This window comes from Homo sapiens, chromosome 15, assembly GCF_000001405.40.
Source record: "Homo sapiens chromosome 15, GRCh38.p14 Primary Assembly".
NCBI classification, from domain to species: Eukaryota; Metazoa; Chordata; class Mammalia; order Primates; family Hominidae; genus Homo; species Homo sapiens.
The window spans coordinates 41,848,144-41,874,782 of record NC_000015.10 but is presented as its reverse complement, the minus strand read 5'-3'; the positions used below and the strand labels follow the sequence as shown (position 1 = coordinate 41,874,782).

The 26,639-nt window shown below is 59.7% G+C and overlaps 1 protein-coding gene, 1 non-coding gene and 1 pseudogene across 6 annotated transcripts in view, besides 6 other annotated features; all 3 read left to right on the top strand.

Moving 5' to 3' along the window:
• Nucleotides 1-26,637, top strand: part of SPTBN5 (spectrin beta, non-erythrocytic 5) — a 45,908-nt gene extending 19,271 nt beyond the window's left edge. For 2 of the 5 annotated variants that reach the window (XM_017022299.2, XM_017022302.2), the window contains 44 exons: nucleotides 305-491; nucleotides 738-938; nucleotides 1,175-1,291; nucleotides 2,324-2,481; nucleotides 2,866-3,001; nucleotides 3,263-3,408; nucleotides 4,223-4,337; nucleotides 4,430-4,540; nucleotides 4,763-4,942; nucleotides 6,182-6,385; nucleotides 6,565-6,714; nucleotides 7,141-7,245; nucleotides 7,657-7,824; nucleotides 8,290-8,439; nucleotides 8,554-8,745; nucleotides 8,880-8,975; nucleotides 10,759-10,874; nucleotides 10,965-11,079; nucleotides 11,880-11,993; nucleotides 12,123-12,244; nucleotides 12,491-12,653; nucleotides 12,860-13,048; nucleotides 13,287-13,364; nucleotides 14,025-14,197; nucleotides 15,803-15,893; nucleotides 16,035-16,181; nucleotides 17,073-17,210; nucleotides 17,289-17,545; nucleotides 17,744-17,930; nucleotides 18,185-18,397; nucleotides 19,038-19,559; nucleotides 19,807-20,001; nucleotides 20,578-20,733; nucleotides 20,996-21,201; nucleotides 21,336-21,525; nucleotides 21,783-21,959; nucleotides 22,048-22,149; nucleotides 22,467-22,601; nucleotides 22,933-23,004; nucleotides 23,414-23,500; nucleotides 23,633-23,724; nucleotides 23,844-23,929; nucleotides 24,824-24,914; nucleotides 26,155-26,637. In XM_017022299.2, coding sequence (XP_016877788.1) covers nucleotides 305-491; nucleotides 738-938; nucleotides 1,175-1,291; nucleotides 2,324-2,481; nucleotides 2,866-3,001; nucleotides 3,263-3,408; nucleotides 4,223-4,337; nucleotides 4,430-4,540; nucleotides 4,763-4,942; nucleotides 6,182-6,385; nucleotides 6,565-6,714; nucleotides 7,141-7,245; nucleotides 7,657-7,824; nucleotides 8,290-8,439; nucleotides 8,554-8,745; nucleotides 8,880-8,975; nucleotides 10,759-10,874; nucleotides 10,965-11,079; nucleotides 11,880-11,993; nucleotides 12,123-12,244; nucleotides 12,491-12,653; nucleotides 12,860-13,048; nucleotides 13,287-13,364; nucleotides 14,025-14,197; nucleotides 15,803-15,893; nucleotides 16,035-16,181; nucleotides 17,073-17,210; nucleotides 17,289-17,545; nucleotides 17,744-17,930; nucleotides 18,185-18,397; nucleotides 19,038-19,559; nucleotides 19,807-20,001; nucleotides 20,578-20,733; nucleotides 20,996-21,201; nucleotides 21,336-21,525; nucleotides 21,783-21,959; nucleotides 22,048-22,149; nucleotides 22,467-22,601; nucleotides 22,933-23,004; nucleotides 23,414-23,500; nucleotides 23,633-23,724; nucleotides 23,844-23,929; nucleotides 24,824-24,914; nucleotides 26,155-26,167 — 6,643 coding nt within the window. In that variant the 3' untranslated portion in view covers nucleotides 26,168-26,637. Of the gene's footprint in view, nucleotides 1-304; nucleotides 492-737; nucleotides 939-1,174; nucleotides 1,292-2,323; nucleotides 2,482-2,865; nucleotides 3,002-3,262; nucleotides 3,409-4,222; nucleotides 4,338-4,429; nucleotides 4,541-4,762; nucleotides 4,943-6,181; nucleotides 6,386-6,564; nucleotides 6,715-7,140; nucleotides 7,246-7,656; nucleotides 7,825-8,289; nucleotides 8,440-8,553; nucleotides 8,746-8,879; nucleotides 8,976-10,758; nucleotides 10,875-10,964; nucleotides 11,080-11,879; nucleotides 11,994-12,122; nucleotides 12,245-12,490; nucleotides 12,654-12,859; nucleotides 13,049-13,286; nucleotides 13,365-14,024; nucleotides 14,198-15,265; nucleotides 15,376-15,802; nucleotides 15,894-16,034; nucleotides 16,182-17,072; nucleotides 17,211-17,288; nucleotides 17,546-17,743; nucleotides 17,931-18,184; nucleotides 18,398-19,037; nucleotides 19,560-19,806; nucleotides 20,002-20,577; nucleotides 20,734-20,995; nucleotides 21,202-21,335; nucleotides 21,526-21,782; nucleotides 21,960-22,047; nucleotides 22,150-22,466; nucleotides 22,602-22,932; nucleotides 23,005-23,413; nucleotides 23,501-23,632; nucleotides 23,725-23,843; nucleotides 23,930-24,823; nucleotides 24,915-26,154 lie in introns of those variants that run through there. The other 3 variants (NM_016642.4, XR_001751302.2, XR_001751303.2) reach the window with 3 other exon arrangements.
• Nucleotides 4,769-5,029: a silencer, noted in NCBI's record as "fragment chr15:42161952-42162212 (GRCh37/hg19 assembly coordinates)". NCBI's record gives its function as "represses an EF-1alpha promoter that drives an FKBP-Casp9 reporter gene in an ReSE screen in HepG2 liver carcinoma cells {active_cell/tissue: HepG2}" and the evidence as "EXISTENCE:reporter gene assay evidence [ECO:0000049][PMID:32094911]".
• On the top strand, nucleotides 8,232-8,288 carry MIR4310 (microRNA 4310). Its single transcript, NR_036195.1, has one exon. It is a non-coding gene; the product is annotated as a microRNA 4310 (primary transcript).
• Nucleotides 17,844-18,358: an enhancer, noted in NCBI's record as "H3K27ac-H3K4me1 hESC enhancer chr15:42148623-42149137 (GRCh37/hg19 assembly coordinates)". NCBI's record gives its function as "activates a minimal SCP1, AML or CMV promoter by ChIP-STARR-seq in primed H9 embryonic stem cells {active_cell/tissue: H9 hESC(primed)}" and the evidence as "EXISTENCE:reporter gene assay evidence [ECO:0000049][PMID:30033119]".
• Nucleotides 18,876-19,391: an enhancer, noted in NCBI's record as "H3K27ac-H3K4me1 hESC enhancer chr15:42147590-42148105 (GRCh37/hg19 assembly coordinates)". NCBI's record gives its function as "activates a minimal SCP1, AML or CMV promoter by ChIP-STARR-seq in naive H9 embryonic stem cells {active_cell/tissue: H9 hESC(naive)}" and the evidence as "EXISTENCE:reporter gene assay evidence [ECO:0000049][PMID:30033119]".
• Nucleotides 19,392-19,908: an enhancer, noted in NCBI's record as "H3K27ac-H3K4me1 hESC enhancer chr15:42147073-42147589 (GRCh37/hg19 assembly coordinates)". NCBI's record gives its function as "activates a minimal SCP1, AML or CMV promoter by ChIP-STARR-seq in naive H9 embryonic stem cells {active_cell/tissue: H9 hESC(naive)}" and the evidence as "EXISTENCE:reporter gene assay evidence [ECO:0000049][PMID:30033119]".
• Nucleotides 20,890-21,500: an enhancer, noted in NCBI's record as "H3K27ac-H3K4me1 hESC enhancer chr15:42145481-42146091 (GRCh37/hg19 assembly coordinates)". NCBI's record gives its function as "activates a minimal SCP1, AML or CMV promoter by ChIP-STARR-seq in naive H9 embryonic stem cells {active_cell/tissue: H9 hESC(naive)}" and the evidence as "EXISTENCE:reporter gene assay evidence [ECO:0000049][PMID:30033119]".
• Nucleotides 21,501-22,110: an enhancer, noted in NCBI's record as "H3K27ac-H3K4me1 hESC enhancer chr15:42144871-42145480 (GRCh37/hg19 assembly coordinates)". NCBI's record gives its function as "activates a minimal SCP1, AML or CMV promoter by ChIP-STARR-seq in naive H9 embryonic stem cells {active_cell/tissue: H9 hESC(naive)}" and the evidence as "EXISTENCE:reporter gene assay evidence [ECO:0000049][PMID:30033119]".
• On the top strand, nucleotides 22,754-22,870 carry RNA5SP393 (RNA, 5S ribosomal pseudogene 393; annotated as a pseudogene).

Genomic DNA, 26,639 nt, shown 5'->3' with positions numbered 1-26,639 from the left:
CAAGATGGCACCCACAGGACCGGGGTGTCCAGACCTCCTCCCTTATGAGTAGAGTCATTCTGGGATGGGAGGGTCGGAGACCCCATTATGCTTCCTTAGCAGGACCCCCACAGTGCAGTCACGCGAGTCATCTAGGCCATGAGGTGGGGCCCTGGCGCCCTTCCACTGCCTCCCTTTGTCAGATGAGGCTTTGCTCTATTCCCTGGTCTTGTTCTTCACGGGCCCTGGCTTGGCCAAGGAAAGAACCAGGAGCCTTGTGCTCACTCTGTTCCCAACCTCTCCAATCTCTTCCTCCTCCTCCTAGGCTGGAGCTTCTGCAGGGGCATCTGGCCATCCGGGGCCTGCAGCTGCAGGCCTCAGTGGAGCTGCACCAGTTCTGCCACCTGAGCAACATGGAGCTCTCTTGGGTAGCCGAGCACATGCCCCATGGCAGCCCCACCAGCTATACCGAGTGCTTGAATGGTGCCCAGAGCCTTCACCGCAAGCACAAGGTAATAGCCCTCTTCTTCCTACAGGATTACCGACATCCGCTTCCCAGACCTTAGAAACCCTCTGCCCCTACTCAGGTGTCCTGGCCTCTAAGCCCTCACCCCTGGGTATCCCAATTTCCAAATCTCTGCCCCAGCTATTTTGACCCTGGGGGTCTTGCCATGATTGGGGCCTGGAGCCACATCCATGGCTCTGCTCCGGACGCCCCTGGGTTAAGAGCAGCAGCCTCTCAAGCCACTCTGTGGCAGGAGCTCCAGGTGGAGGTAAAAGCTCACCAGGGGCAGGTGCAACGGGTGCTGAGTTCTGGGCGGAGCCTGGCAGCCTCAGGGCACCCCCAAGCCCAACACATCGTGGAGCAGTGCCAGGAGCTGGAAGGCCACTGGGCAGAGCTGGAGAGGGCATGTGAAGCGCGGGCCCAGTGTCTGCAGCAGGCTGTCACTTTCCAGCAGGTAGGATGCAGAGAGGTGGGGTTGGGGGAAGAGGCAGAAGTCAGGGCTCCTTGAGGGGCCACCTGTGGGACTCTCAGGGAGGCGGATCAGTGGTGGGGGCTCTGGGCTGGGAGCTGATGGGTGCCCCTATGGGCACAGAAGCCCCTTTGATGCTGGAGAGCAGGGGCAGATGTCTCCAGGGCTGACGGAGGGTCCTGTCTGAGATCCTCCAGGTGAGTTGGCCCCACTCTTGGCAGTACTTTCTGGATGTGTCAGAGCTGGAGGGCTGGGTGGAGGAGAAGCGGCCGCTGGTGAGCAGTCGGGACTATGGCAGAGACGAGGCAGCCACCCTCAGGCTCATTAACAAGCACCAGGTACCACGTCCTGAGCCTCCCCTGCAGTGTGGTCTGGGTGATGATGGACCACGGGGAGAGGGCTGTCACCCTCCCTCTCTCAGAGGCACGGAGCCCTGCTCTTGCTTCCTGGAGACACAGACAGCCCCATCCCCACTTCCCACCCAGATCCCACAGTGCCCCTTCTTCCAAGGCAACCTGGGCACTGTGATGTACACGCTTTCTCCCTTCATCTTCTTACGAGTCTTGCCTCTCCCTGTGGCCTTGGGGTTTCTCCGCCTCCTCTTGCTTCCTCTCTACCCCACCCCTGGCACCTTTCTCCTCTGTCAAGGTCACCTGCCCAGCCCGCTCCACATCTCCCACAGGTGTCTTCCTCCCAGGCTTTACCTGTCATCCTTTGAGTTAACCAAATGCCCTTCATGAAGCCGACCTCCTCCCACAAACATCCCCTGGCTGAAGGGAGGGAGGTCTCGAAGTCCCCTTCCTCACTCCTGAATTCGGACTCCCAGAACCACACAAGCTTCAAAGCCTGGAGCCCACGGCAGTCCCGGTTCCTGCTGTCACTGAACTGTCCTCCTGTCTGGGCATGTTTCCTGCACAGCCCCAGTTCCAGTGTGTTCTGCGACAGGACCTTCAGAGAAGGTCTTTCTAAAGGCCTGTAGCCTTGGCCTCACGGAGCACCCATCTCCCGGCTATACTGGACAGCTTGTTTAACTCTGCCTCTCTCTTACACATGGATGTTGGGGTCCAGTCTAATGCCTCCTGTGCCCTCCCTTCCTTGGCCCAGATTAGCCAGCATTCACCTTTCCCTGCTAAATAATGAGCCCTCAGTGGGCACAGACCAGGTGTTCACTTTATGGAACAATAAGTACTTACTCCATCAGTAATGGGTAGATGGATGCTGGGTGGGTGGATGAATGAGTTGAGGTAGATGGATGGGCGTGTGAGTGGTGGGTGAATGGATGAGGATTGGTGACTGGATGGGTGGGGGACGGACAGGTGGGTGGATGAGTCACCCAGGCTGAGCCTGGCATGGGTCCTCATGCATCATAGGCTCTACAGGAGGAACTAGCCATTTACTGGAGCTCCATGGAGGAGCTTGACCAGACGGCCCAAACCCTCACTGGCCCCGAAGTCCCTGAGCAGCAGCGTGTGGTGCAGGAGAGGCTCCGGGAGCAGCTGCGGGCACTGCAGGAGTTGGCGGCCACACGGTGAGGACACCATAACCCCTCTCATCAGTGGGTACAGGAGGCCTAGCCACAGCTGACTGTTCCCATGCCATGGCCCAAAGTCAATCAGAACCCATGACCCCAGGCTGTAGAGATGCATTGGGAAAAGGGTGTGTGTTGCTCACCTCTTTCCATAAATTCTTCAGTGAGGCCCCACAACTCCCTGCAGTCCATCTCCCCACGTCCACACCCTCCTCTGCCCCTACACCTGCACTGCTGTGTCTACTACTCCCTGAATCGTGAGCCGCAGGCTTGGACAGAGACCATGAGTAACCCCAGTTTTCAGATTGGCCCCTCTGGCTGGCCCGACTGGCCCCCAGGGGGGTGGGCAACTCACTTCTGGGGAACCACGGACTGTTACCACAGGGACCGGGAACTGGAGGGGACCCTGAGGCTGCATGAGTTCCTGAGGGAGGCTGAGGACCTGCAGGGCTGGCTGGCAAGCCAGAAGCAGGCAGCCAAAGGAGGGGAGAGCCTGGGAGAGGACCCCGAGCACGCCCTGGTGAGAAGAGGGCCAGGGTCAAGGAGGGTGCCCTGAGGCAGAGCCTATGGGGTGGGGAAGCTGGCTCTGGCGGGGCGGAGGAAGAAGGTGGCAGCAGAGCGGTGAGCCCTGGCTGAGGTGGGGCCTCCTCAGTGGAGCGGGCAGACGCCGTGGCTATCCAAGCCCACATCACCCAGTTGGGCACTGAGGTGCCTCGATTCCCAGGCTGCTTGACGCCTAACCAGCTGGGGGCTACCCTGTCACCCACTCCCCTCTTCTCAGCACCTCTGCACCAAGTTTGCAAAGTTTCAGCACCAAGTGGAGATGGGCAGCCAGCGGGTGGCCGCCTGCCGGCTGCTGGCGGAGAGCCTGCTAGAGCGTGGGCACAGTGCTGGCCCCATGGTCCGTCAGAGGCAGCAGGATCTGCAGTGAGTGCCCAACGGGCCAGGCCAGCATGGGGTTTGGGGGAAGGAGCTGGGCAGGCAGGGCCCAGAGTGGTAAGAGAGGATGGCATGCTGTGAGGGCCACACTGGCCCTGGCTGCCCACGGGGCTCTGCAGGGGGCCTAGCTCCAGAGAAGCTGAGCCCGCCACAGGCTCTGGTCTGTGAAGGAAGGTGAGGCTGGGTGTGCAGGTCAGAGTCCTGCCCCCAGGATTGAGAGCAGGAGCTGTGGGAAGATGGTGGGGCCAGACATCAGGGCCTTCCCCTGAGCTACCCCAGCTCCTGTGCTCACTCGGGACAGCCCATGCCTCGTGTGGTTCCTAGCTGTCCACTTGGCTGATTTGGATCCACTCCCAGCCTGTGAGCTTTGAGGCAAGGTCATGACTTGCTCATAACCCCTAGCCCAGAGCCTGGCCTGGCAGAAGCCTTAGGAGCTCAGCCAGTTGCAGAGTTAGCGAGGAACGGAGAGATGTGGCCTCTGCCCACAAAGCGTCTGTGATCATAACCTGGGTGACGCACTGTGAGTCAAAGCACAGGATGTAAAGAGTATCACAGCACAGATACCATGCAGTGCCGAGCATTACAGCAGCAAAGCACTGAATTCATGGTAAAGCTAGAAGACAGGCTCCCAGGAAGAAGGTGCGTAGGCAGGGCCACAGGCGGGAGAGGTTTTAAGAAGGAGGAGCTTTGGGCAAGTCCCGATACAACTCAGAGAGGAGCGGGCTGACCAGACCTAGCGGGAGGGAGGAATGACACGGCCCGGCAGCTGATCCCCGGCTGGTCTTCCACACGCCGTGGGCAGGACCGCCTGGTCGGAGCTGTGGGAGCTGACCCAGGCCCGAGGCCACGCGCTCCGAGACACCGAGACCACCCTCAGAGTTCACAGAGATCTCTTGGAAGTCCTCACCCAGGTCCAGGTGTGAGCCGGAGGGGTGGCTAGAAGTGGATACACTCCAGGCTCAGTGCCCACGCTCCATCCCTCATCTCCTCGGCATTCTCCCTTCCTCAGGAGAAAGCCACGAGCCTCCCCAACAATGTGGCACGGGACCTGTGTGGGCTGGAGGCGCAGCTGAGAAGCCACCAGGGGCTGGAGCGAGAACTCGTGGGCACCGAGCGGCAGGTGAGCCCAGCTGGCTGCCTCTCCGACCCAGGCCCCTGCAGCCCCCTCAGGCTGGCCTGCCTGTTCCTCTAGATTTTCCACTGTCCCTCAGGGCCTCCCATGGGCCTCCTGTGCATGGCAGGACGTGGCCCAAGGGGGCCAGAGTTCCCAGGCAAGGGATACATCTGTGGGATAATCAGGAGGACATGACCCTTGCCTCCCTATTCCCTGCCCCTCCCGCAGCTGCAGGAACTGCTGGAGACTGCAGGCAGGGTGCAGAAGCTGTGTCCGGGGCCTCAGGCCCATGCGGTGCAGCAGAGGCAGCAAGCTGTGACGCAGGCGTGGGCAGTGCTGCAGCGACGCATGGAGCAGCGCAGGGCCCAGCTGGAGCGGGCACGCCTCCTGGCCCGCTTCCGCACGGCGGTGAGGGCTCCTGCCCTTTGGGTGGTGTGTGTGTGCATGTGTGTGTGCTGCACCATGCATGGGCATGCACGCATGAGGCCCTCCAGCTCCGGAGGGAGAACAAGCATGGACTTGGGTGGGAGAGCACGAGCACACGGGATGTCAGTCTGGCTGGTCAGGGGCTGAGCACATGGGCATAGCAGTGACACCTTAGGGTCTGGGTCAGTGCCAGCAAGGTGAGTGGCAGGGCAGTCATGCAGGGTCCCAGACAGGGCTGGGAGTAAGAACTGCCCAGGAAAGCTCATAACTGGAGACCCAGATGTTAGACAGTGACCTCTGGATCAGTCAGTATCTATTTAATGTCTGTCTTCAGCTCCCTGCTGAAGCCACGGGTGGAGAGAGGAGGGCAATATAGAAGCTATGGAAAGTGGAACTGCTGCCCTCATGGAGCCCTGCTTCCTGGGGAGATGAGCCCGAAACCCAGAGAATCAGACTGGGACAGTAGGTCCTGGCCACGGGGTGTCCCCGGCATCCCACTGTCCTGGGACCTGGCAGACCAGGAGGCCCAAACTGACACTGCAAAAAGGCTTGAGTTTAGGGACCTAACTCTGCTGATTTGCTAGCAGTGTGAGCTTGAGCAAGGCACTTAACCCTGGGTTTGTCATGCACTTAGAGTTTACAAGACTCTTTCTGCCATTTACCCTTCCTTCCTCCATGCAATGAGACATTTGGACAAGGGCCTGAAGTCCCTCCAGCACCAATCTTGTATAGTTGTACACAAATCAGCAGAAGACTGTAAGGGTTAAATTAGTAATTCAGAGAACAAGGAGAGCAGTGCAATGTCAAATACCAGGGAAGGCTTTGCCAGGCAAATGCGGCCAAGGGGCCTTTGAAGAGCAGGTGAACTTTCTTTCCCCATCAAGCAGTCTTGATGGGGCTGATCTTGCTAGCCGCCAGTCCTCTCATGGCCTCATCCAGGTGAGCTCTGTAGAGATGGGAAGGCAGGAGGAACAAAGGGCAGAGATGTGTCGTGGTAAGGGTCTGGCTCATGTAGGGGGTTCGTGGTTCTGGGAGGATCGGGTTGGATGAGAACGGAGAAACCAAGTGACAAAGGGCCACATGTGCCTCACCCGAGGCCCTGACCCAGGTCGGCTCGGGCTGTGTGAGTGGACTCAGGTGGGCTGCAGTTGCCTCAGCACCTGGTTTCCTGCTGCCCAGCCCAGCCCTCACCCGGCTCTCCCTCCGTGTCCCCGGGATCAGGTGCGTGACTATGCCTCCTGGGCAGCCCGCGTGCGCCAGGACCTGCAGGTGGAGGAGAGTTCGCAAGAGCCTAGCAGTGGCCCGCTGAAGCTCAGTGCCCACCAGTGGCTCCGGGCGGAGCTGGAGGCCCGGGAGAAGCTGTGGCAGCAGGCCACCCAGCTGGGGCAGCAGGCACTTCTTGCTGCAGGGACACCCACCAAGGAGGTGGGCCCCCTCCCCTGGTGCCCCCACATACCCTAGCTGACCAAGCCTGTGCCTGGCCACCTGGTGCCCCGTCCTACTGTGCCATGCTGGCCTCTCCTCAGGAGCTTCCCTCAGGATCCAGTCCTCACCTCACCCACACCACCCTCCCCAGCTGAGGCTCCTCATGTGTCCATCCCCAGGTCCAGGAAGAGCTTCGAGCCCTGCAGGACCAGCGGGACCAGGTGTATCAGACCTGGGCACGGAAGCAAGAGAGGCTGCAGGCCGAGCAGCAGGAGCAGCTCTTCCTCAGAGAGTGCGGCCGCCTGGAGGAGATCCTCGCGGCCCAGGAGGCAGGTCCCCTCCCGCCCTCACACTCCGCTCAGCCTCCTGCTCCTCCTTTCTATTCTCCTCTCTGCTCAGTCCCTTTCCTCCTGCCTCTCTGGCTTTTTCTCTAATATGAGGCAGCTGTGCACAAGTCCTTCCAGGTGGCCATGGTGAAGTGCTGAGGCCCCTGAGCGTCCACTGACATCCCCAGCCCCTATCCCAGACTGAGCCCCGAGGAAGTTGGCCAGAGGCTGGTCATGCTCCCCACATGGTGCAGAGGTTGAGGTATCGCAGCCTCCCAACCTGGACTCCCACTCCTCACAGCTCCATGCCAAGCTCAGTGGGCACTCCTAAGGCCCTGCCATACCCAGAGTGCCCATGGGCACAGACTGCAGCTGGAGGGGCTGGCTGGCTGGAAGGCTTGGTGGCCTCTGACTTTTCTGTGGATCCAGGTCTCCCTGAAAACCAGTGCCTTGGGGAGCTCGGTGGAAGAGGTAGAGCAGTTGATTCGCAAGCACGAGGTCTTCCTGAAGGTTCTGACTGCCCAGGACAAGAAGGTAATGGAGTCAGGAGGCCTGGGCGTGGTCAGAGTGTGGTGGTTGGGAGAGAGTCCTGAAGGGGGTCACGGGGCGCTTGGTGTGTTCCTGGAGGCAGTGCTGATGAGCCTGCAAGGCTGGGGTCCTGGTTGGGGTTGACTGAGCAAGTTGTATGTGTGGCTCAAGAAGAGGGCCCAGGGGGAGATGGGCCACACTGCAGAGACCCACACGGGGCATTTGGCTCTGTCCACACCGTGTGGTCCTTGGGGAGCAGACTGGTCTGGCTTGTGGCTGGGAGGATCAGATACCCCTCAGCCATGTGGGGCTGAGGAAAGGGCTCCGGGGCCCTCAAAGAAAGGACTGTGAGCCCTGCAGGCCAGGCCCTGCCCCAGCCCAGGGTGGGAGAGCAGCAGCTGTGCCCCTGCCCCACAGGAGGCAGCCCTGCGTGAGCGGCTGAAGACGCTCCGGCGCCCCCGGGTGCGGGACCGGCTTCCCATCCTGCTGCAGCGCCGGATGAGAGTGAAGGAGCTGGCGGAGAGCCGGGGACACGCCCTGCATGCCTCCCTGCTGATGGCCAGCTTCACCCAGGCCGCAACCCAGGTCAGAGGGCACCCCCAGCCCAGGGCCTTCCACTGGAACCACACTCGACAGTTTTCAGCCGCCTTCACACCGCAACACTGTGAGGCGGAAACAGGTTCGGGGGTGGATGGCTTTCCCAGAGGCTGTGCTGGAGCCCAGAACATGGGATCTAAGCCCCTTTGTGTGGAGACCTCACCAGTGTCCCGAGCTCTAGCAGCGCCAGGGCAAGAGAGGTGGGGAAGGGAGCAGAGCAGCCCAGGGCCCCAGGAGTAGGGGCCACACCTCCAAAACGAGAGCCCACCCAAGGCCCTGCCCGGCTGCCTCCTGCAGCAACCTTCCGGAGCTGGAACCTTCAGGGCTCATTTACCAGGTGCTGCCCGCCCCACCCCTGAGGCCAGCCTCCTGGGAATGGCTGGGGGCTAGGCCTGTGGCGTCTGGGGCCTGAGGCTGCAGAACATTGCAGCATTCATGTCCCACCCCCACCAGGCTGAGGACTGGATCCAGGCGTGGGCCCAGCAGCTGAAGGAGCCGGTCCCTCCTGGGGACCTGAGAGATAAGCTGAAGCCCCTGCTGAAACACCAGGCCTTTGAGGCTGAAGTCCAGGCCCATGAGGAGGTCATGACCTCTGTTGCCAAGGTAACAACCGGGCCCTCAGCCCCATGCCTGCCCCAAAGTGTGGCCCAGGGGCAATGTCAGTCTTAGGAGGAAGTGCAGCAGGCAAGATGTCCTGTGTCCCCTCTCTCCCTCCAGAAGGGAGAGGCTCTCCTGGCACAGAGTCACCCTCGAGCCGGAGAGGTCTCCCAGCGGCTGCAGGGCCTGCGGAAGCACTGGGAGGACCTGAGGCAGGCAATGGCCCTCAGGGGCCAGGAGCTGGAGGACAGGCGGAACTTCCTGGAGTTCCTGCAGAGAGTGGACCTTGCAGAGGCCTGGATCCAGGAGAAGGTGTAGCCCCAGCTGGGTGGGGGCTGAGAGATGGGGGGAGGAGCCCTCCCTTGACAGGAGGGATCCCCAGCAGCAGGTGCCAGGAGCCTGGGCTGGTGCTCACAGCGCTCCCTCCCCACCCTCGGCCTTCACAGGAGGTGAAGATGAATGTTGGTGACCTGGGCCAGGACCTGGAGCACTGCCTGCAGCTCCGACGGCGGCTCCGCGAGTTCCGAGGAAACTCGGCCGGGGTAAGAGGGCCTTGCTGGGTAGAGGTTGGCCATGCATCCCGCACTGAAAATCCAACTGAGAGCAGGGAAAGAGTGTGGGCTGTAGAGCAGGGCGTGGGCGCCATGCCTGCTCCTCCTATGCCCTCGGGCAGGCTCCCTCCTCTCACCCGCCTTCACTCCTTCCTCTTTAGAATGGGGGTAGCACCCACCTCAGAGGTAAGAGAGCACGTGTGTGGTGGCAGGTACGTGAATCTCTAGCTGTGATAAAACTGCATAGACCTATCCCCCACTGCCCCGCACAGATGCATACTTGCAAAAACTAATAAAATCTGAATGAGGTCTGGTCTAGTTGGTAGTATTACACCAACGTCAGCTTTGTGGTTTTAATGTTATCATTATATAGGATGCTGCTGTAAGGGAAGCTGGGGAAGGGCACAGGGACCTCTCTGCAGGACTTTGGCAATTTCCTGGGCATCTATAATTATTTCAAAAAATCTTAAAAAGATAGGACATATGCCTGGATGTGGCAGATAATCAGCGCCCACCTTCAGTGTGACTATTTCAGCGTCTCAGCGTCTTCTCACCCCACACCCGCCCCCTCACACATACACACACCAAACATCTATTTCTCTTATGTGGTATACAGGGGAAAAAAATGGCAAATGTATTGACAATCAGGTGTTAAAGACCAAATGTGCTAACCTTGTCCCCCGGTACATGTATGTATTACTTTTTAAGAGGCGGCAGTGCTTAAACCTAAGACATCCCTTGTTAATGGTGGAATTTCACAGACGCTGTGCCAGATGCTGCAGTAGGAAGAGAGCTAGACTCCAAAGGAGCTGGGCTTGAATCCTGGCTCTGCCGCAAAGGAGCCAGGTTAGCCTCTGAGCTCTGCTCCGGCATCTATAAAAGGAGGGGAATGTCCTTCCCTGCCTACCTTGCAAATGAGGCACTTCATAGGAAAGTGCTTTGGAAATTTAAACAAGCTCTACAGAAGCCAGAGGCAGGAGATCTGCAATCACACCCTGCGGTGGACCCCCTCCCTGCGTACCTTTAAACCCCATCCAGTGTCCAAGCAGCACCAGCCTCAGCTCAGACGAGTCCTGGGGTGGGGACACCCAAACCCCAGGAAGCCAGAGCTCACTGTTCCATTCCACAACCTCCCTTTGCTTCTCTTCAACCAAGAAGCCGAATTTTCATTTTAAAAGTTTCTGTGGCTGGGCACAGTGGCTCACGCTTGTAATCCCAGCAGTTTGGGAGGCCAAGGCGGGCAGATCACTTGAGGTCAGTAGTTTGAGACAAGCCTGGCCAACATGGTGAAACCCCATCTCTACGAAAAATACAAAACTTAGCCAGGCTTGGTGGCAGGCACCTGTAGTGCCAGCTACTCGGGAGGCTGAGGTAGGAGAATCGCTTGAACCAGGGAGGTAGAGGTTGCAGTGAGCTGAGATTGTGCCACTACAACAACAGTGCAACAGAGGGAGACTCCGTCTCAAGAGTCTCTGTTAGTGAGCATGTGCCCACTCTCCCCCTCCTACATGGTACCCAGTGCAGGGATCCCATTTTCTGGCCTTAGAGATGACTCTGGGGCTGCAGGCTCCAAGCTGATCTTGCTCACTTCACCTGGACGGGGTGACCTCAGGGACCTGCCGCAGTAGAGGAGGCAGGAGGCAGTTCTTCCCACTGCCCAAATATGCAGTTCCTCATGCTCCGGGGCCCAGGCATGCTTTCAGTGCCTGCTGAGGTGGGAAGAAGGGGCTCTGCATGGGGGGTGCCAATGCCCTCACCCATACCTCCCCTGCAGGACACAGTGGGTGATGCCTGCATCAGGAGCATCAGTGACTTGTCACTGCAGCTCAAGAACCGGGACCCTGAGGAAGTCAAGATCATCTGCCAGCGGCGAAGCCAGCTCAACAACAGGCCAGTCCCAGGCTGGGGAGAACCAAAGGGCCGGGAAGAGGGGTGGAAGGCCACCTCAGGCTCCACATGACACCACCACCCCTTGGCCAGGTGGGCGAGTTTCCATGGCAACTTGCTCCGGTACCAGCAGCAGCTCGAAGGGGCCTTGGAGATACACGTGTTGTCCCGAGAGCTGGACAATGTCACCAAGAGGATTCAGGAGAAGGTACGTGGTGGAAAGAGGTCCCGGTGGGGGCTGTGAGCAAATGCAGTCAGGGGAGGGGGCACTGCCTAGAGTCTCCCATGCGTCTCCCCCCTCACTGGCCTCTCCTGTTCAGCTGGGTACTTGGAGGTGGGTCCCAGCAGTCTGCACCAGGGACATCTGATGGGCTGGCCCTCAGGATCAACTCAGGACCATAGAAGCATCCATTGCGAGCTCAGTGGGGGATTCCCTGTCTCCTTTCTCCCCCAGATCTGGTCCCCAGATACATGGCAGGTCCAGAGGCCAGAAAACACACTCTCTGTTTCCTCCCATCCCTGAGGAAGCCCAAACCCTCGGGAGGTTTGCCCTGGGACTGTGTACATAACCACAGAGCCCCGGGCTGGAATCTGGCAGAGTTAGAACCCGGTCTAGGAAGCCCTTGTGTGAAACAAGTGCTGCTGCCTGTGCTGGGCATGCCTGGCTGTTTCCTCCGCTGGCTTCTGCCCTCAAATGACGGCACAGGCCTGTCTGTCCATCCTTGCTCTATTTCCTTTCTCGCTCCTCAAGGGATGAGAGTTGAGTGAGACTGTACAGGGAAGCAGCACACACGTGAGGTTCTTCCCTCAGAGGAGACTCCAAATCCAGAGTTGCTCCTCAGAATCGTCCCCCTCACATAAGGAAGAGATCTCTGGCCCTCAAAGTCGGGGCCAGGAAATCACGCTGGGGACTTGCTGTGCACACAGAAGCCACTGGTTGGGCCCTTTGCCAGGAAGGAGGAGCCGAAGCAAAGGCCCAGCAGGTAACTGGCCGTGCCCCTCCTCCAGGAAGCCCTGATCCAGGCCCTGGACTGTGGGAAAGATCTGGAGAGCGTGCAGAGGCTGCTGCGGAAACACGAGGAGCTGGAGCGGGAAGTGCACCCCATCCAGGCCCAGGTGGAGGTGCGTAGCTGGCTGTAGAGCTGGGCCCAGGGCATCTCCTGAGTAGGACCCTGGGCACAAGTGGGGAGGAGGGGCTTGGGTGGCCCAGAGCTCCCCTGCCCCAGCCTCTGACCCCGGCTTCCCCCGCAGTCCCTAGAGCGTGAAGTGGGCCGCCTCTGCCAAAGAAGCCCCGAGGCAGCCCACGGCCTCAGGCACAGGCAGCAGGAGGTGGCTGAGAGCTGGTGGCAGCTCCGGAGCAGGGCCCAGAAGCGGTATGAACCCGCAGGCCTTGCCCTCGCCGACCCATCCTCCAGCATCTCAGTCCCCACACCTCCCCTCAGCCCCTGTGTTCCCCTAGGATTCCTTCTCCACCCTTCAAATAACTGTACTGTCCTCCCAGTAACTCCCAGCCCATGGGCCCTCCTGTGGTTGAGGGGATTAAGGGACAGAAGACACCAGTGGGCATGGGGGAGAGGGGTTTGAAGGCCTGACGACTAGCTGATGAGCGCTGTGGGCAGGAGGGAGGCGCTGGATGCCTTGCACCAAGCTCAGAAACTCCAGGCAATGCTGCAGGAATTGCTGGTCAGCGCCCAGAGGCTGCGGGCTCAGATGGACACGAGCCCCGCTCCTCGCAGCCCTGTGGAAGCCCGGCGTATGTTAGAAGAGCATCAGGAGTGCAAGGTGAATGGGCAGCTGGCCCAAGCCTTTCCCAGGCTCTCAGCTCCGCCCTGCCCTCCCCTTCCTCTCATCTCCTTGCTCTTGGGCCTCCTGAGTGTCCCGCCCTGCCTATCTCCTCCAGCCTCCCGCTCCTCAGCTGCTTCCCCACCTCTCTCCTGCCTGCTGGGCTGCTTCCAGCCCCCAGTGATCTGAGCCCAGTCCTGTTCCAGGCCGAGCTGGACTCCTGGACAGACAGCATCAGCCTGGCCCGAAGCACTGGGCAGCAACTGCTCACAGCGGGGCACCCCTTCAGCTCCGACATTCGCCAGGTGCTGGCTGGCTTAGAACAGGAGCTGAGCAGCCTGGAAGGGGCCTGGCAGGAGCATCAGCTACAGCTGCAGCAGGCCCTGGAGCTACAGGCAGGCACAGTCCCATCCCCAGCCTGCATCTTGCCCCCCCGAACAGGGCCTGCGCTGACCCCACAGCCTCTGGTCAAGGCTAAGACTGGAGGGGCTGCTGTGCCAGGGACTTCCCCACCACTCAGCACTCCTGCCTTCCAGGACCCTGGTTCCCTAACCTGTGCCACTGGAACAGTCACTCCAACTGCAGTGGCTGGACCCTCCACCGACTGTCTCTTGCCTTTTCCTTTGTTCTCAGCTGTTTCTGAGCTCAGTGGAGAAGATGGAACGTTGGCTTTGCAGCAAGGAAGACTCCCTAGCCAGTGAGGGTCTATGGGTAGGTGCCCAGCAGGAATGGGCAGGAGGGGGGAATTACCAGAGCAGCATTAGGGGTCAAACCAGCCAGTGCTGCCTGAGCTCCCTAGGCCAGGGATCCTCCCCTTCGGGGCCATCTCCCCACCCTGGGCCACATCCGTCACTGGGCAGTTACTTACCCGTCATCTAGAGCAGTTCCCATGCAGCTGTGGGCAGGCCCCACCGCGAACACCAAGGAGCTTCTAGAGTGCCTGTGTGGGCCTGACCCATTCTTGCCACCTCACCCCTGCCCTCCTCGCTTCCCAAATGCCTAGAGGTTGGCTTTTCCCGCCACTGCCCCAACCCTGAAGCAGACGAGTGTAACTTATAGGAGACCTCAGAGGATAACTGGGGACTAACATGGTCCTCCAGGGAGTGCAGAGGAGGGAGCTTTCACCTTAAATGAAAAAGCTCTGCTTGCCTCAGAGATTCTGGCTCTTGATCCCTAATCCAAATGCCTCCCCTGGCTGGGAATCACTGTCCTAAAGCTGGAAACAGCCTTGAGGGATGTGAGGGATGTGTTTGGGCGGAGCAGCCGCTCTGTGGATGAGCATTTGGTAGGATGGTTCTAGGTGGGAAGGCAGGTAGCCTGGGATGGGAGGGGGAGGCTCATGGACAGTATTGGGTTCCCCACTCCCACCAGGACCCCTTGGCCCCCATGGAGCCCCTTCTGTGGAAGCACAAGATGCTGGAGTGGGACCTGGAGGTGCAGGCGGGAAAGATCAGTGCTCTGGAGGCCACGGCCCGCGGCCTGCACCAGGGTGGGCACCCCGAGGCCCAGAGTGCCCTGGGCAGGTGCCAGGCCATGCTTCTGAGGTAGTGGTGGCTCTGGGGTGAGGGGTGCTGTGGGCAGGCTGGCACAGGCATCTGGCATCCCGGTTCTTCCCTTCCCACCCTTCCACTACTTGGCCCAGGCTCACCAGCCTTGTCCAAGGACTGAGGTCAGATGCCGGGGGTCCCCACCACCCCTGGCCCTGCAATGTGTCTGCCTGTTATGGACATCAAACACCACGTGGAAAATCCCACTTCCTTCTTCATTCAGTTGAGATCAAAGGGAGTTTAAAGAGAGGCTTATGCTAGGAGACCAAGAGGAAATCATCTCACGAAACGGAAGGTCGCAGGGCACAGAGGTCAAGCATCGGCCTTCCAGGGTCACAGTCCTGAGTCCCTGTGCTGCCCACTAATGGCAGGACTCAGACAAGTTCCTCCTCTCGGCAGCTGAGCCTCACATCCTGGGCTTTAACGGCTGTGATGAGGACGAAAGCACTGTGCTGGCCCCACAGGCAGGCTAGCAGAAGTCTTAGTTCATCTAACTGAAGTTCAGACACAGATGCATGTGACCTGCATGGCCCATGAGACCCCAGCTCTGCAGTTCTTTTTCCCTGTAAAAGCTCATCAGGTTTGGCTGCTTCATGCAGCTCCTCAGACTTTTAGATCAAGGCAGATACGGTCAAAAGCCAGATCCCAGACTGGTGGGGGCTTTTGTCCTTCTCAGAGAGCCGATCAGAGAGCCAACCAGCACCCACAAATGCCATGGCTCCTTGTGCTGGTGTCCTGGCAGTGGTCGCGGCCACCCCCTCTCCATTCTTGCAGGTGGACCACACCTGGGTACCTGTGGAGGTCTTTGAATTAACAGAATGCAAACTTTGCTTTGCTGGTCTTTGTCACCACCCCCTACCCCAGTCACCTTAGGTGGTTCCTGGCAGGCTCAGCTTCCCCCAGCACAGTGCCACCCTGACTTCTAGCCCCTGGCTTCTGCCCTCCTGCAGGAGGCAGATCGTCCCCCTGTGCTTGTGTCTGCCCCAGTTGCCTCCTCTCATAAGGTCACACTGGATTAGGACCCACCCATATGACCTCATTTTCACTTAATTACCTCTTTTAAAGACGCTGTCTCCAAAAACACTTCTGGAGTTAGGCCTTCAACATAAGAACTCAGTGGTACAGGCTGGGTGCAGTAGTTCACGCCTGTAAACCCAGCACTTTGGGAGGCCGAGGTAGGTGGATCATTTGAGGTCAGGAGTTCAAGACCAGTCTGGCCAACATGGGGAAACCCTGCCTCTACTAAAAATACAAAATTTAGCTGGGCCTGGAGGTGTGAGCCTATAGTCCTAGCTACTCGGGAGGCTGAGGCAGAAGAATTGCTTGAACCCGGGAGGTGGAGGTTGCAGTGAGCCGAGATTGTGCCACTGCACTCCAGCCTGGGTGACAGAGTGAGACTCTGTCTCAAAAACAAAAACAAACTTGGGGGTACAAAATCCGGCGCATAACAGACACAAATACAGAGGGGGAGTGCAATGTACCTTTATTCCAAAGGAAACTCCAGACTCAGAGTATATTCATACCCGAGAAAGCCTAGGCTGGACGGGCACCCCACCTGGCCCCGGGGGTGGCTCCAGGCCCATGAGCCTCTCCTCCTGGCAGGAAGGAGGCGCTCTTCAGGCAAGCCGGGACCCGCCGCCATCGCCTGGAGGAGCTCCGGCAGCTGCAGGCCTTCCTGCAGGACTCCCAGGAGGTTCGCCTCGCTTGGAGAGGGAGGCGGTCATGGTGGGGAAGGAGTCGACCCAGGGAAAGGCCACCCTTCCTCTGGGGTATCCCAGAGGTCAGGGGAAGGGGAAAGCCCTGGACAGCAGGCCTGTCCTCCCCATGTGCCCAGGTGGCTGCGTGGCTGAGGGAGAAGAACCTGGTGGCCTTGGAGGAGGGTTTGCTGGACACAGCCATGCTGCCAGCACAGTTACAGAAGCAGCAGAATTTCCAGGCGGAGCTGGACGCGAGCATGCACCAACAGCAGGAGCTGCAGCGGGTGAGGCCCTGCAGGCAGGAGGGTGGTGGGACAGCTCTCCAGGCAGAACACAGGACAGTGCCCCAGAGCTGGTGCTGAACCACAGTAACGGTGGCCAGCGTTATCCAGTACTTTCTGCATGCAGGCACCTGGCTAAGCGGTTGTTTAGGCAGAAGTGTAGTGAGAAGAAGTTGCTTTCCGGCGGGCAGGGGGGGCACCCTCTCCAAAAATGGCAGCTTTTCATTAATTTTAAAGATAACATTTTGATGTGAACAGGACATAGCCACCAGTCCTGTGAGCGAAGGAGTCAAAACATAGCCACTTTGAGACAGGGTCTTGCTCTGTCACCCAGGCTGGAGTGCAGTGGCAAGATCTCAGCTCACTGCAACCTCCGCCTCCCAGGCTCAAGTGATCTTCCCAGCTCAGCCTCCCAAGTAGCTGGGATCACAGGCCCACACCACTACATCCAGCTACTTTTTTGTATTTTTGGTAGAGATGGGGTTTTGCCATGTTGTCCAGGCTGGTGTTAAACTCCTGAGCTCAGGCGATCCACCTGCCTCAGCCTCCCAAAGTGCTGGGATTACAGGAATGAGCCACTGTGCCCAGCATAGCACTTTTTAAAACATTCTCTTTTCCACCTGCAAAGGCAGGTCCTGACCCCAGGCTGGCTCCCTCTGATATAAATCACCCTGCTAAGTATTTTATATGACTTATCTCATTTAAACAAAATAACCATTATTTTCTCTATGATACGGATGAGGAAAATGAGGCTTAGGTAAAGAAAGTTGCTCAAGATCATGCAGCTGGACCGCAGGGACTCTGCAGCTCTAGTGCTGGTGGTCAGAGTCAACACAAGTGCCCTGGTACCAGCAGTCCTGAGTCCACAAGGTGTGTTTCATGTTGTGGCTGCAGGAGGGACAGAGGCTGCTGCAGGGGGGCCACCCAGCCTCGGAGGCCATCCAGGAGCGACTGGAGGAGCTGGGAGCACTCTGGGGTGAGCTGCAAGACAACTCCCAGAAGAAGGTGGCCAAGCTCCAGAAGGCCTGTGAGGTGAGGTTGTGCAGGCCGAGGGGTGGCTGGCCGGGCTCCAGGACACTCCCCTCCTGCCTACCTCACTTTCTACCCTAGGCCCTGCGTCTGCGGCGGAGCATGGAGGAACTGGAGAACTGGCTGGAGCCCATCGAGGTTGAGCTGAGAGCCCCCACTGTGGGCCAGGCCCTGCCTGGGGTGGGCGAGCTCCTGGGCACACAGAGGGAGCTGGAGGCAGCAGTGGACAAGAAGGCCAGGCAGGCTGAGGCACTGCTGGGCCAGGCCCAGGCCTTTGTGAGGGAAGGCCACTGCCTTGCCCAAGATGTGGAAGAGCAGGCCCGGCGGCTGCTTCAGAGGTAGATCCACCCGTGCCCTCAGCTTCTCTTCCCTGCCTTCCTGGAGGGACCCCCACCCCTGCCCTCTTAACTGATGTCTTCTCACTTTCTCCCCTTGCCCATGGTGAGGGCCACAGCTGGGTGATCTGTGTCACCAGGTATCCCTAATACTGACACCCTGGTCCCTGCCTCCCTTGGTCCCACCCTCCACCGCTGCAGGTTCAAGAGCCTGAGGGAGCCCCTGCAGGAGCGCAGGACGGCCCTGGAGGCCCGGAGCCTCCTCTTGAAGTTCTTCAGGGACGCCGACGAGGAAATGGCCTGGGTGCAGGAGAAGCTGCCTCTGGCCGCTGCCCAGGACTATGGCCAGAGCCTGAGTGCGGTGCGGCACCTGCAGGAGCAGCACCAGGTGTGGGCCCACCCGGGGAGGGCTGGCCTCGCACATGAGCAGGGCTTCTCAGCCAAGGAAATGGCACTCTCTGTGGCCCAGCCAGGAACTCTCTGCCTGTGGGGGCTTTTGGGATGCCCTGGATTCTTTGGGAGTCATGGGGACAGGGAACTCCTTGGGGACAAGTTAGTGGGGTCCCGTGAAACTTCAAGCACAACTGTGGGAGTCCCCCAAGGGTCAGCAACATCCGCATCCTCCTGCCTCCTCCCCCGCAGAACCTGGAGAGTGAGATGAGCAGCCACGAGGCTCTGACCCGGGTGGTGCTGGGCACTGGGTACAAGCTGGTGCAGGCTGGGCACTTTGCCGCCCACGAGGTGGCCGCCCGGGTGCAGCAGCTGGAGAAGGCCATGGCCCACCTGCGGGCAGAGGCGGCGCGGAGGCGGCTTCTGCTGCAGCAGGCTCAGGAGGCCCAGCAGTTTCTGACTGAGGTGAGGGGAGTGATGGGCAGGGCACAGCAGGCAAGCCTGGAACACAGGGCGAGTGCGGCTGGGAGGTCACTCCGGGGCTCCTGGCCTGGGCACCTTTCGTCTCCTCCACTCAGTGGTCTCCTGCCCCCAAGGGCTTCCTTCCACATGTTTCCCAGAACACAGCTGCTGGCTGGGTTGGCTTTTGTCTTTTTTCCCTCTAGATCAGTGGGTCTCAACCAGGGCTTTACATGAGAATCACCTGGAACCTTCACTTGAACGATTATACCTCAATTACTTCACAATGGTGAATACAATTGTAAAGGAAGAAAAACTGAAGTAAAAAGGCTAATAAGTGAAAGGGAGAAACACTGCAAGGAATATTTGCTAAAACTTGGTTTTAAGTGACAAAATCTATGCCTATGAACCAAGAATAAAATGTCTATTTTGCATGGAAAAAAACAATCACCTGGACCCTTTACAAAACACTGCCGCTCTGGCTGTGTTCCGGACCAGATGAGGCTGCTTAGGAGTGGGGCCAGGCTGAGGGAGCGTGACAGCTCCCAGGTGATTCCCCTGTGCAGCCAGGCTGAGAATCGTGGCTGTAAATCCTGAGCCCTGGAGGGTGCCCCGGGAAAACGGATCTCCACTCTGTCACCCCCAGCTCCTGGAGGCGGGATCCTGGCTGGCTGAGCGGGGCCATGTCCTGGACAGCGAGGACATGGGCCACAGTGCTGAAGCCACACAGGCCCTTCTGCGGCGGCTGGAGGCCACCAAGAGAGACCTGGAAGCGTTCAGCCCACGCATCGAGCGGCTGCAGCAGACAGCAGCACTCCTGGAGAGCAGGAAGAACCCAGAAAGGTGGGCGGAAGCCACACCATCCGCGAAGGAGCAGAGAGAAGCCCCCTACAGAGATGGCAGGAGACTGCTCCAGCCTGGAAAGGCAGGGCTGCAGTCCAGACTGTCGCTCTCTTCCCACAGCCCCAAGGTGCTAGCCCAGCTGCAGGCAGTTCGGGAGGCCCACGCAGAGCTGCTGCGGAGGGCGGAGGCCAGGGGGCACGGCCTGCAGGAGCAGCTGCAGCTACACCAGCTGGAGCGAGAGACCCTGCTCCTCGACGCCTGGCTGACCACCAAGGCGGCCACCGCCGAGTCCCAGGACTACGGGCAGGACCTGGAGGGTGTCAAGGTGAGTTACTCCTGAGCAAACCTCACGGGGAGTGGGCAGAGGCTGAGGAAGGCCTGCCCTGGGATGAAAGGGTTGCTGGGGAGTCAGCAGAAAGGAGCCTGGAGAGGGTGTCCTAGGGAGGATCCCGATGGTTCCAGAACCTGGGCTGAGGGATTTCAGAGCCATCAGAGTCTGCTGAGCTCTTCATGAGCTTTGAGAGCTCATGATACCATCTCAAGTGACCCTGCTGGGCCTCATACCTTTGCAGGTGCTGGAAGAGAAGTTTGATGCTTTCAGAAAGGAAGTGCAGAGCCTGGGCCAGGCCAAGGTGTATGCCCTGAGGAAGTTGGCAGGCACCCTGGAGCGGGGTGCACCCAGGCGCTATCCCCACATCCAAGCCCAGAGGAGCCGCATTGAGGCTGCTTGGGAGAGGTTGGACCAAGCAATAAAAGCCCGCACAGAGGTAGGTGATCACAGGCCGGGCCAAGCTAAGGGGTGTCAGAGTCTTCAAAAAATCCCTCTAAGCCCTCCTTACCACAGGCTTTGGTTCCAACAAGACACACACCCTGCTGGCCTCAAGTGAATGTGCCTTTTCCCTCACCTGCTCAGCTTTCTTCCAGGAATTGGCTGCAGCCCAGGACATTCCATCTCTGTAGGTCCTGGGCTGGGGCTGCCTCCTGAGCTGACCCGGTCCCCCAGCCCCATGAGAGGCACTGCAGGTGGTACTGCCAGGGTCAGCCAGATCCCCGAGAACCGGCCTGCTCCCTCACGTGGACCCAACACCTCGCGTCTGCCTTTCCCTGAGATGCACGAGGCCCTCTCCTCTCCCCACCCTCCCCACCCCCTGGCCTGCCGCAGACCCATATCATCACGTTCACTGAGGGCTGCAGCATGGAGGATGGTTTCTGTACCTGGGGACACATCAAGCCCCATGATCCTCCTTGTTCAAAAGGAGGTGGCCCAGAAGGCCATGTCTCCAGGGAGAAAGGAATCCTGGGAGCAGAGAACAGCCCTGAGCAGGTCCTTTCTCCTCTCCCAGAACTTGGCTGCAGCCCATGAGGTCCACAGCTTTCAGCAGGCAGCAGCTGAGCTCCAGGGAAGGATGCAGGAGAAGACGGCCCTGATGAAGGGGGAGGACGGAGGCCACAGCCTGTCATCTGTGCGGACCCTGCAGCAACAGCACAGGCGCCTGGAGGTGAGGCCCACGCCCTGCAGCCTGCCTGTCTGAGCCCCTGCCCGAAGGCGGTGGCTGAGGGGACCTATCTCAGCCCTCCCACCCCAGCCTGCTTCAGCCTCTTCTCCAGAAACCCAGATCCTTCCCCGAGGGGCCCTAGGACTTGGCCCAGCTTGTGCAGCAGAGTGGAGGTGGTTCCTCAGAGAGGCCTGGTGCTCCTGAATGCAGAGCACGCATCGGCTCAGTGGGGGGACTGAGGCCTGATCTCATGCTCTGGTTGCAGAGAGAGCTGGAAGCTATGGAGAAGGAGGTGGCACGGCTACAGACGGAGGCCTGCCGACTGGGCCAGCTACATCCTGCAGCTCCGGGGGGCCTGGCCAAGGTGCAGGAGGCCTGGGCCACCCTGCAGGCGAAGGCCCAGGAGCGAGGCCAGTGGCTGGCGCAGGCTGCACAGGGCCATGCCTTCCTCGGGCGCTGCCAGGAACTGCTGTAGGTGTCCTACCTCAGCTGCCGGCTCAGCTCTACCCTGTGGGGTGGGGGTATCCTGGCTCTTGGGGGAGCTGGACCCTCCCTCCCCTGCTCCCCAGCCAGCCCTGACAACAGCTCCCTTCCCTGCCCCACAGAGCATGGGCACAGGAGAGGCAGGAGCTGGCGTCCTCCGAGGAGCTGGCTGAGGACGTGGCGGGGGCTGAGCAGCTCCTTGGGCAGCATGAAGAGCTGGGGCAAGAAATCAGGGAGTGCCGCCTTCAAGCCCAGGACCTGCGGCAGGAAGGACAGCAGCTGGTGGACAACAGCCACTTCATGTCTGCGGAGGTGTGAACTCAGAGGGTGGGCCTGGGGTTGGGCTGGGGATACAGCCTGATTGCCCAGGGCCTCAGGGCCCCTCACAGGCATGGAAACCAGCAGGAAAGGAAGGCTGGGCGCAGGCAGGGAGAGAGGCTGGGAAGGGGCAGGTGCGGGTCTCACAGCCTTCCCTCTGCACTTCCATTAACACTTGGCTCTCCAGCCCTGCCCTGCCCATGGTGGGAGCCCTACCCAAGCTGTCACCCATAGCAGCCCCTCCCCACCAGGTGACAGAGTGCCTGCAGGAGCTGGAAGGGCGGCTGCAGGAGCTGGAGGAGGCTTGGGCCCTGCGCTGGCAACGCTGTGCCGAGAGCTGGGGCCTGCAGAAGCTTCGGCAGAGGCTGGAGCAGGCTGAGGCCTGGCTGGCCTGCTGGGAGGGACTCCTGCTGAAGCCCGACTATGGGGTGAGTGGGGGTCCTGCCCCTTAGCTGGCTACCAGGCTCTGGGCCCCCCCCCCCAAGCTGGGCGTCACCTGAACATGCTTCTCCCCAGCACTCAGTGTCAGATGTGGAGTTGCTGCTGCACAGACACCAGGACTTAGAAAAGCTGCTGGCAGCCCAGGAAGAGAAGTTTGCCCAAATGCAAAAGACAGAGGTGACGACTGCCTCGGCTAGGGGCTGAGGGCTGGTGGGGGAACAGTCCCTCTCAGCCTGCAAGTCAGTGTCTCCCAGGGCACTGAGCCCTCACCCGGCCCTGCCTTACCTGCTCCTTTCCCTGGCCAGCTGCGGTGGTGGGAGAGGCACCATTGTGGACTGGGTGTGAGCCTCCAGAGCCAAAGCTGAAAGAGCTAGTGATGGGGAGGCAGGCCCCCTCTGACCGGGAGGGCTGGGGGAGGGGAGGTAGACGGGAACCTGAGGTGTGGCTGGTCTCCCTGACCTGGCTCACCTTGCCCACCTTGCCCACTCCCCAAGATGGAACAGGAGCTCCTGCTGCAGCCACAGGAGCTGAAGCCCGGGAGAGCTGGCAGCTCGCTGACATCCTTTCAGTGGAGGCCCTCTGGACACCAGGGGCTAGGAGCACAGCTGGCTGAGACGAGGGACCCCCAGGCAGGTGTCCCTATGGGGCTGCAGGCACCCCCGCCGTGGTCTCCCTGAAGCATGCAGTGGGGCTGGGGCTGTGGGGGTGAGGGCCCACACCCTGGAGCCAGTGCTGGGAGCCCGGGCACAGGAGCTGAAGGTCATTAGGAATAAAGATGGCTGTCTACAGCCATACCACCCTGAACATGCCCGATCTCATCTGATCTTAGAAGCTAAGCAGGGTCAGGCCTGGTTAGTACTTGGATGGGAGGAATAAAGAGAGCTGGGGGCAGTGGGTGCCTTGCCCACCTTCCTGAGGGTGCTGGTCCTGACATTTCTGGGCCCCATCTTGCATTTTCAGGATGCAAAGGGTACCCCCACCATGGAGGGGTCTTTGGAGTTCAAGCAGCACCTGCTGCCTGGCGGGAGGCAGGTGAGTGCCTGGAGATTCCTTCTCCAGGCAGCTCCCCACTTGCAGCAGCACTTGAGTGGCTCGAAGAGCCATCTGGGCCTGGCACCCTTGCACTGTGAACTTGGGCAGATGCCACCCCCCACCATGCTGTCCAGGCAGTTTGGCTCCTTGGGACCCTTCCCAGCTCCTGCCACCGCCCCCACCTACCCACCCCCACCAGGAGGTGCTGGGATTCCTCCTCCCCACCTGCTCTTCCCCTTCTGCTTGGTTTCCCGTCAGAGCCCCTCTGTGGCTTCCCTTTCCCCATTGGGACTTTGGTCCAATCCACCGCTTTTCCTGGGAAGCTCCACACACATGGTGAGGCGTGGACAGGCCCTAGCTCTGGCTTCCTGCGTGTGGCTCATGCGACCTTCCCGCCTCCTCTCCACAGCCTAGCTCGAGCTCCTGGGACAGCTGCCGCGGGAACTTGCAGGGCAGCTCTCTGAGCCTGTTCCTGGATGAGAGGATGGCAGCGGAGGTACCAGGCGGGGTAGGGGAGATGCAGACATCAGGGTGCTGGGAAGCAAGGCAGAGGGGCCCCAGGACAGAGGGACCCCACAGGGAAAAGCTGAGATGGCCGCAGTGACCCCTGCCTCTCATCTCTCCTCAGAAAGTAGCTTCCATAGCCCTCCTTGACCTCACGGGAGCCCGGTGTGAGAGGCTGCGGGGCCGCCACGGCAGGAAACACACATTCTCCTTAAGGTGAGCGGAGAGACATGGACTCCGGCATCACCCCCAGCAGCCACCTGGCTCAGCGGGGGCTGGAGGCGTGGGGGTCCCCAAAGGGACAGTGGAGTTTGACCTGTGACTGTGGGTGCCAGGCTGACCAGTGGGGCAGAGATCCTGTTTGCAGCACCGTCCGAAGAGCAGGCTGAGAGCTGGTGGCGAGCCCTGGGCAGCACTGCAGGTGGGCTTCAGGGGAAGGATGCGGGGAGGGCGGCCGACTCCCTGGGCCCCAAGCTCCTGGGCCCCTAGTGTTTTATGCATCCTAGGGAGGTTTCACAGTTAGCATCTCTAACCTCCAAGAAGTGGGACTTACTGTTTTTCCTCAAAGAATTTAGGTCCTGGAGAGGTTACGCAACTTGCCCAAGATCACACAGCTAATTAGCAGAGATGGGGCCAGTTTTGAACCCCCAGCTGTGTCCTGGTCCTGTTCTGCCCCTTTTGGAGTCTGCCACTCAGACTGCCCCAAGCCCTTCCTGCCAGAATCCTCATGGACTGTGTTCCTCCAAGGGCTTTCCAGGCTCTGTTCTGTCTGATCTGGGTGCTTCTCTAACCTTCTAGTCCTCAGACAACTTTGAATGTCACCACCCTTGAGTTGTTTTGCAGACAGTAAGCAAGCCAGGTTCTACTTGGAGGAATATATAGAGACAACCCTTTGGACTTTCTTCCGTGGTCAGCGTGCTCTGCTGAGGCTCCGTGTGGACCGTGTGTTCAGGGAATGTGTCTGGGATCCTAGCTCTGTCGCTGGTTCCCCTGGACTCTCCTCCCAAGAGTCTGTCTTCCCAGGAGCCCAAAGGGATCTTGAGTTGTTCGACATTCCAGAATTTCCCACCTCCTAAGAAAGGCTCAGCCTTTCTTAACTCACCTGTGAGGAGTTTCCTAAGAGGCAGGACGCATGGGGGAAAAACCTGCCCACAAGTGCTCAGCCCGCCCCACACCCCCACGTGGGAAGGGCCTGGCATAGCCAGGCTGCCTAAGGCTGTGCTGAGCCTCCAGAAGCTGGAGGAAGGAGCAGCCAGACCTGGCGCCTGCAGATGGTCTGGGCCGGGCTAACAGTGGTTATTCCCTTGCTCTGCAGCCCAGAGTCTGAGCCCAAAACTCAAAGCCAAACCTGTCAGCTCTCTGAATGAGTGCACGACCAAGGATGCCCGGCCTGGATGTCTACTCAGGTGGGACACCTGGGTGGGGGAAGCAGGGCGGGGAGCCCTGGGCTTCAGTGGCTGGCAGGCGCTGTCCTCTGAAGCCTGAGGTTCTGGGCCTCAGACTTACTCTGTTGGGCTGTAGGGAAATGCTATTGGAACCCTCAGCTGCCCCTGCCCACTCTCAGCTGAGAGGAATCCAGGCCACAAAGCCCAGATTTCCACAGACTCTACAGTGGTCCCCTCCCAGGGCTCACTCCAGGCTCTAGTGTGGGGACCCTGTAGACGAAGCTGCCCAGGCTCCCTGTGCCCTTCCTGCTCGGCTGCTTGTGGGAGGAGCAGCCAGGTTTCCCTCTGCCCAGTGCTGAGAGCCTGCCTGGGTTTGTTTCCCATGCACTCCTCACTTTCCTCCCTCCTCTCCCCTCTCCAAGGCACAGCACATTGGCAGGACGGCCAGACCCTGCCCCACCCTTGTTCCAACCCGTTCTCTACCTGGTCCTCCCCTGCTTTCCCCAATCCCCACTCCATGGCAATGGAGAGGTCCAGCATGTCCCGGCCTGCAGGCCAGGGAGGAGATGCGAAGGTGGATGTGCAGGGGCAGGAGGCTCTTACCTGGCTCCTCAGTCCCTCCTTGTAGATCCCAGCATCATTTCGATGCTCAACCCCCCTCACCCACATCTCCTTCCCTTCCAAACCAGAGGGCTTCAGGCTCTCCAGGGGGAGGGGACACCTGAGGTTAGGTGAAAGTGGAGGAGGGACTGGAGACAGGCAAATCCTCCGTGCATGGGCCCCATGCCAGGATGTGCCTAGATGTGCACACGCATATACAGCCGTGTGCCTGGAGGGCTCATACCATGAGGGGTGGCAGCCACGGCTGTGGTCTCCAGTGTAACCATCTGCTCCCAGTCCTGCAGAGCCCAATATATGATTTAGATGATGTGTTGCTGACGGGACAGGCCTTGTCCTGGACACAGTGGCTCCTGAGGCTACCAGGACAGCCATTTTTTCTGCTGTCTCTAACCCAGGGCTGGGGCTGCTAGGCCAGCTGACAGACGTAGAGTTGGGTTATGAAAGTCGAGGCAACTCCCACCCACTCACGCGTCACTGTGGTCGCTGCTGCAGCGCCTGTCAGTCAGCTCTGGAATCCACTCCCACGCTTATTCTAGGAGGCTGGCTGGTCCAGGGGAGGGCAGGGGCACCAGTGTGTGTTTGTTTGGAGAAGATTCTGGGGTGGCCATACCCTACTAAATTCATTCCGTTTTCCCAACAGGTCTGATCCCTGAGGTGAACCCCAGTGCAACACCAAACTTCAGGGGCACAAGCGAGGACACATCTAAGGGACCAGAATAAGACTCAGCTACAGGCAAAAGGGCTCCTTCCCGTGGCTGCTTCAACCCAGTTCCCCAGGCCCAGCTTCTGGAATAGACAGTTCCTTCTGGTTAGATGGGTCCTACCATGTGGCAGGAAACAGCCATTGCCTGGCCTCCCCCTGCATTCCTGTCTGGGTGAAGAGGAGACGTGTTACGGCAGAGCAGGTGGGCAAGGCCAGGGCTACCCCAGGCCCATGTGGCCTCCTCCTTGCTTGGAAGGGGTGACTCTGAGCACAGGTAGACGCAGACGTGTGCAGAGAATGTGCTCTTCGGAGGAAGAACACTGATGAGCGAGCTCTGTACCAGCCCTTGCCATGTACAGCCAAGAGCCTAGAATGACATGGCCCTTCTCAGCAGTAATAACAGATGGTCTCAGCGCCTCACA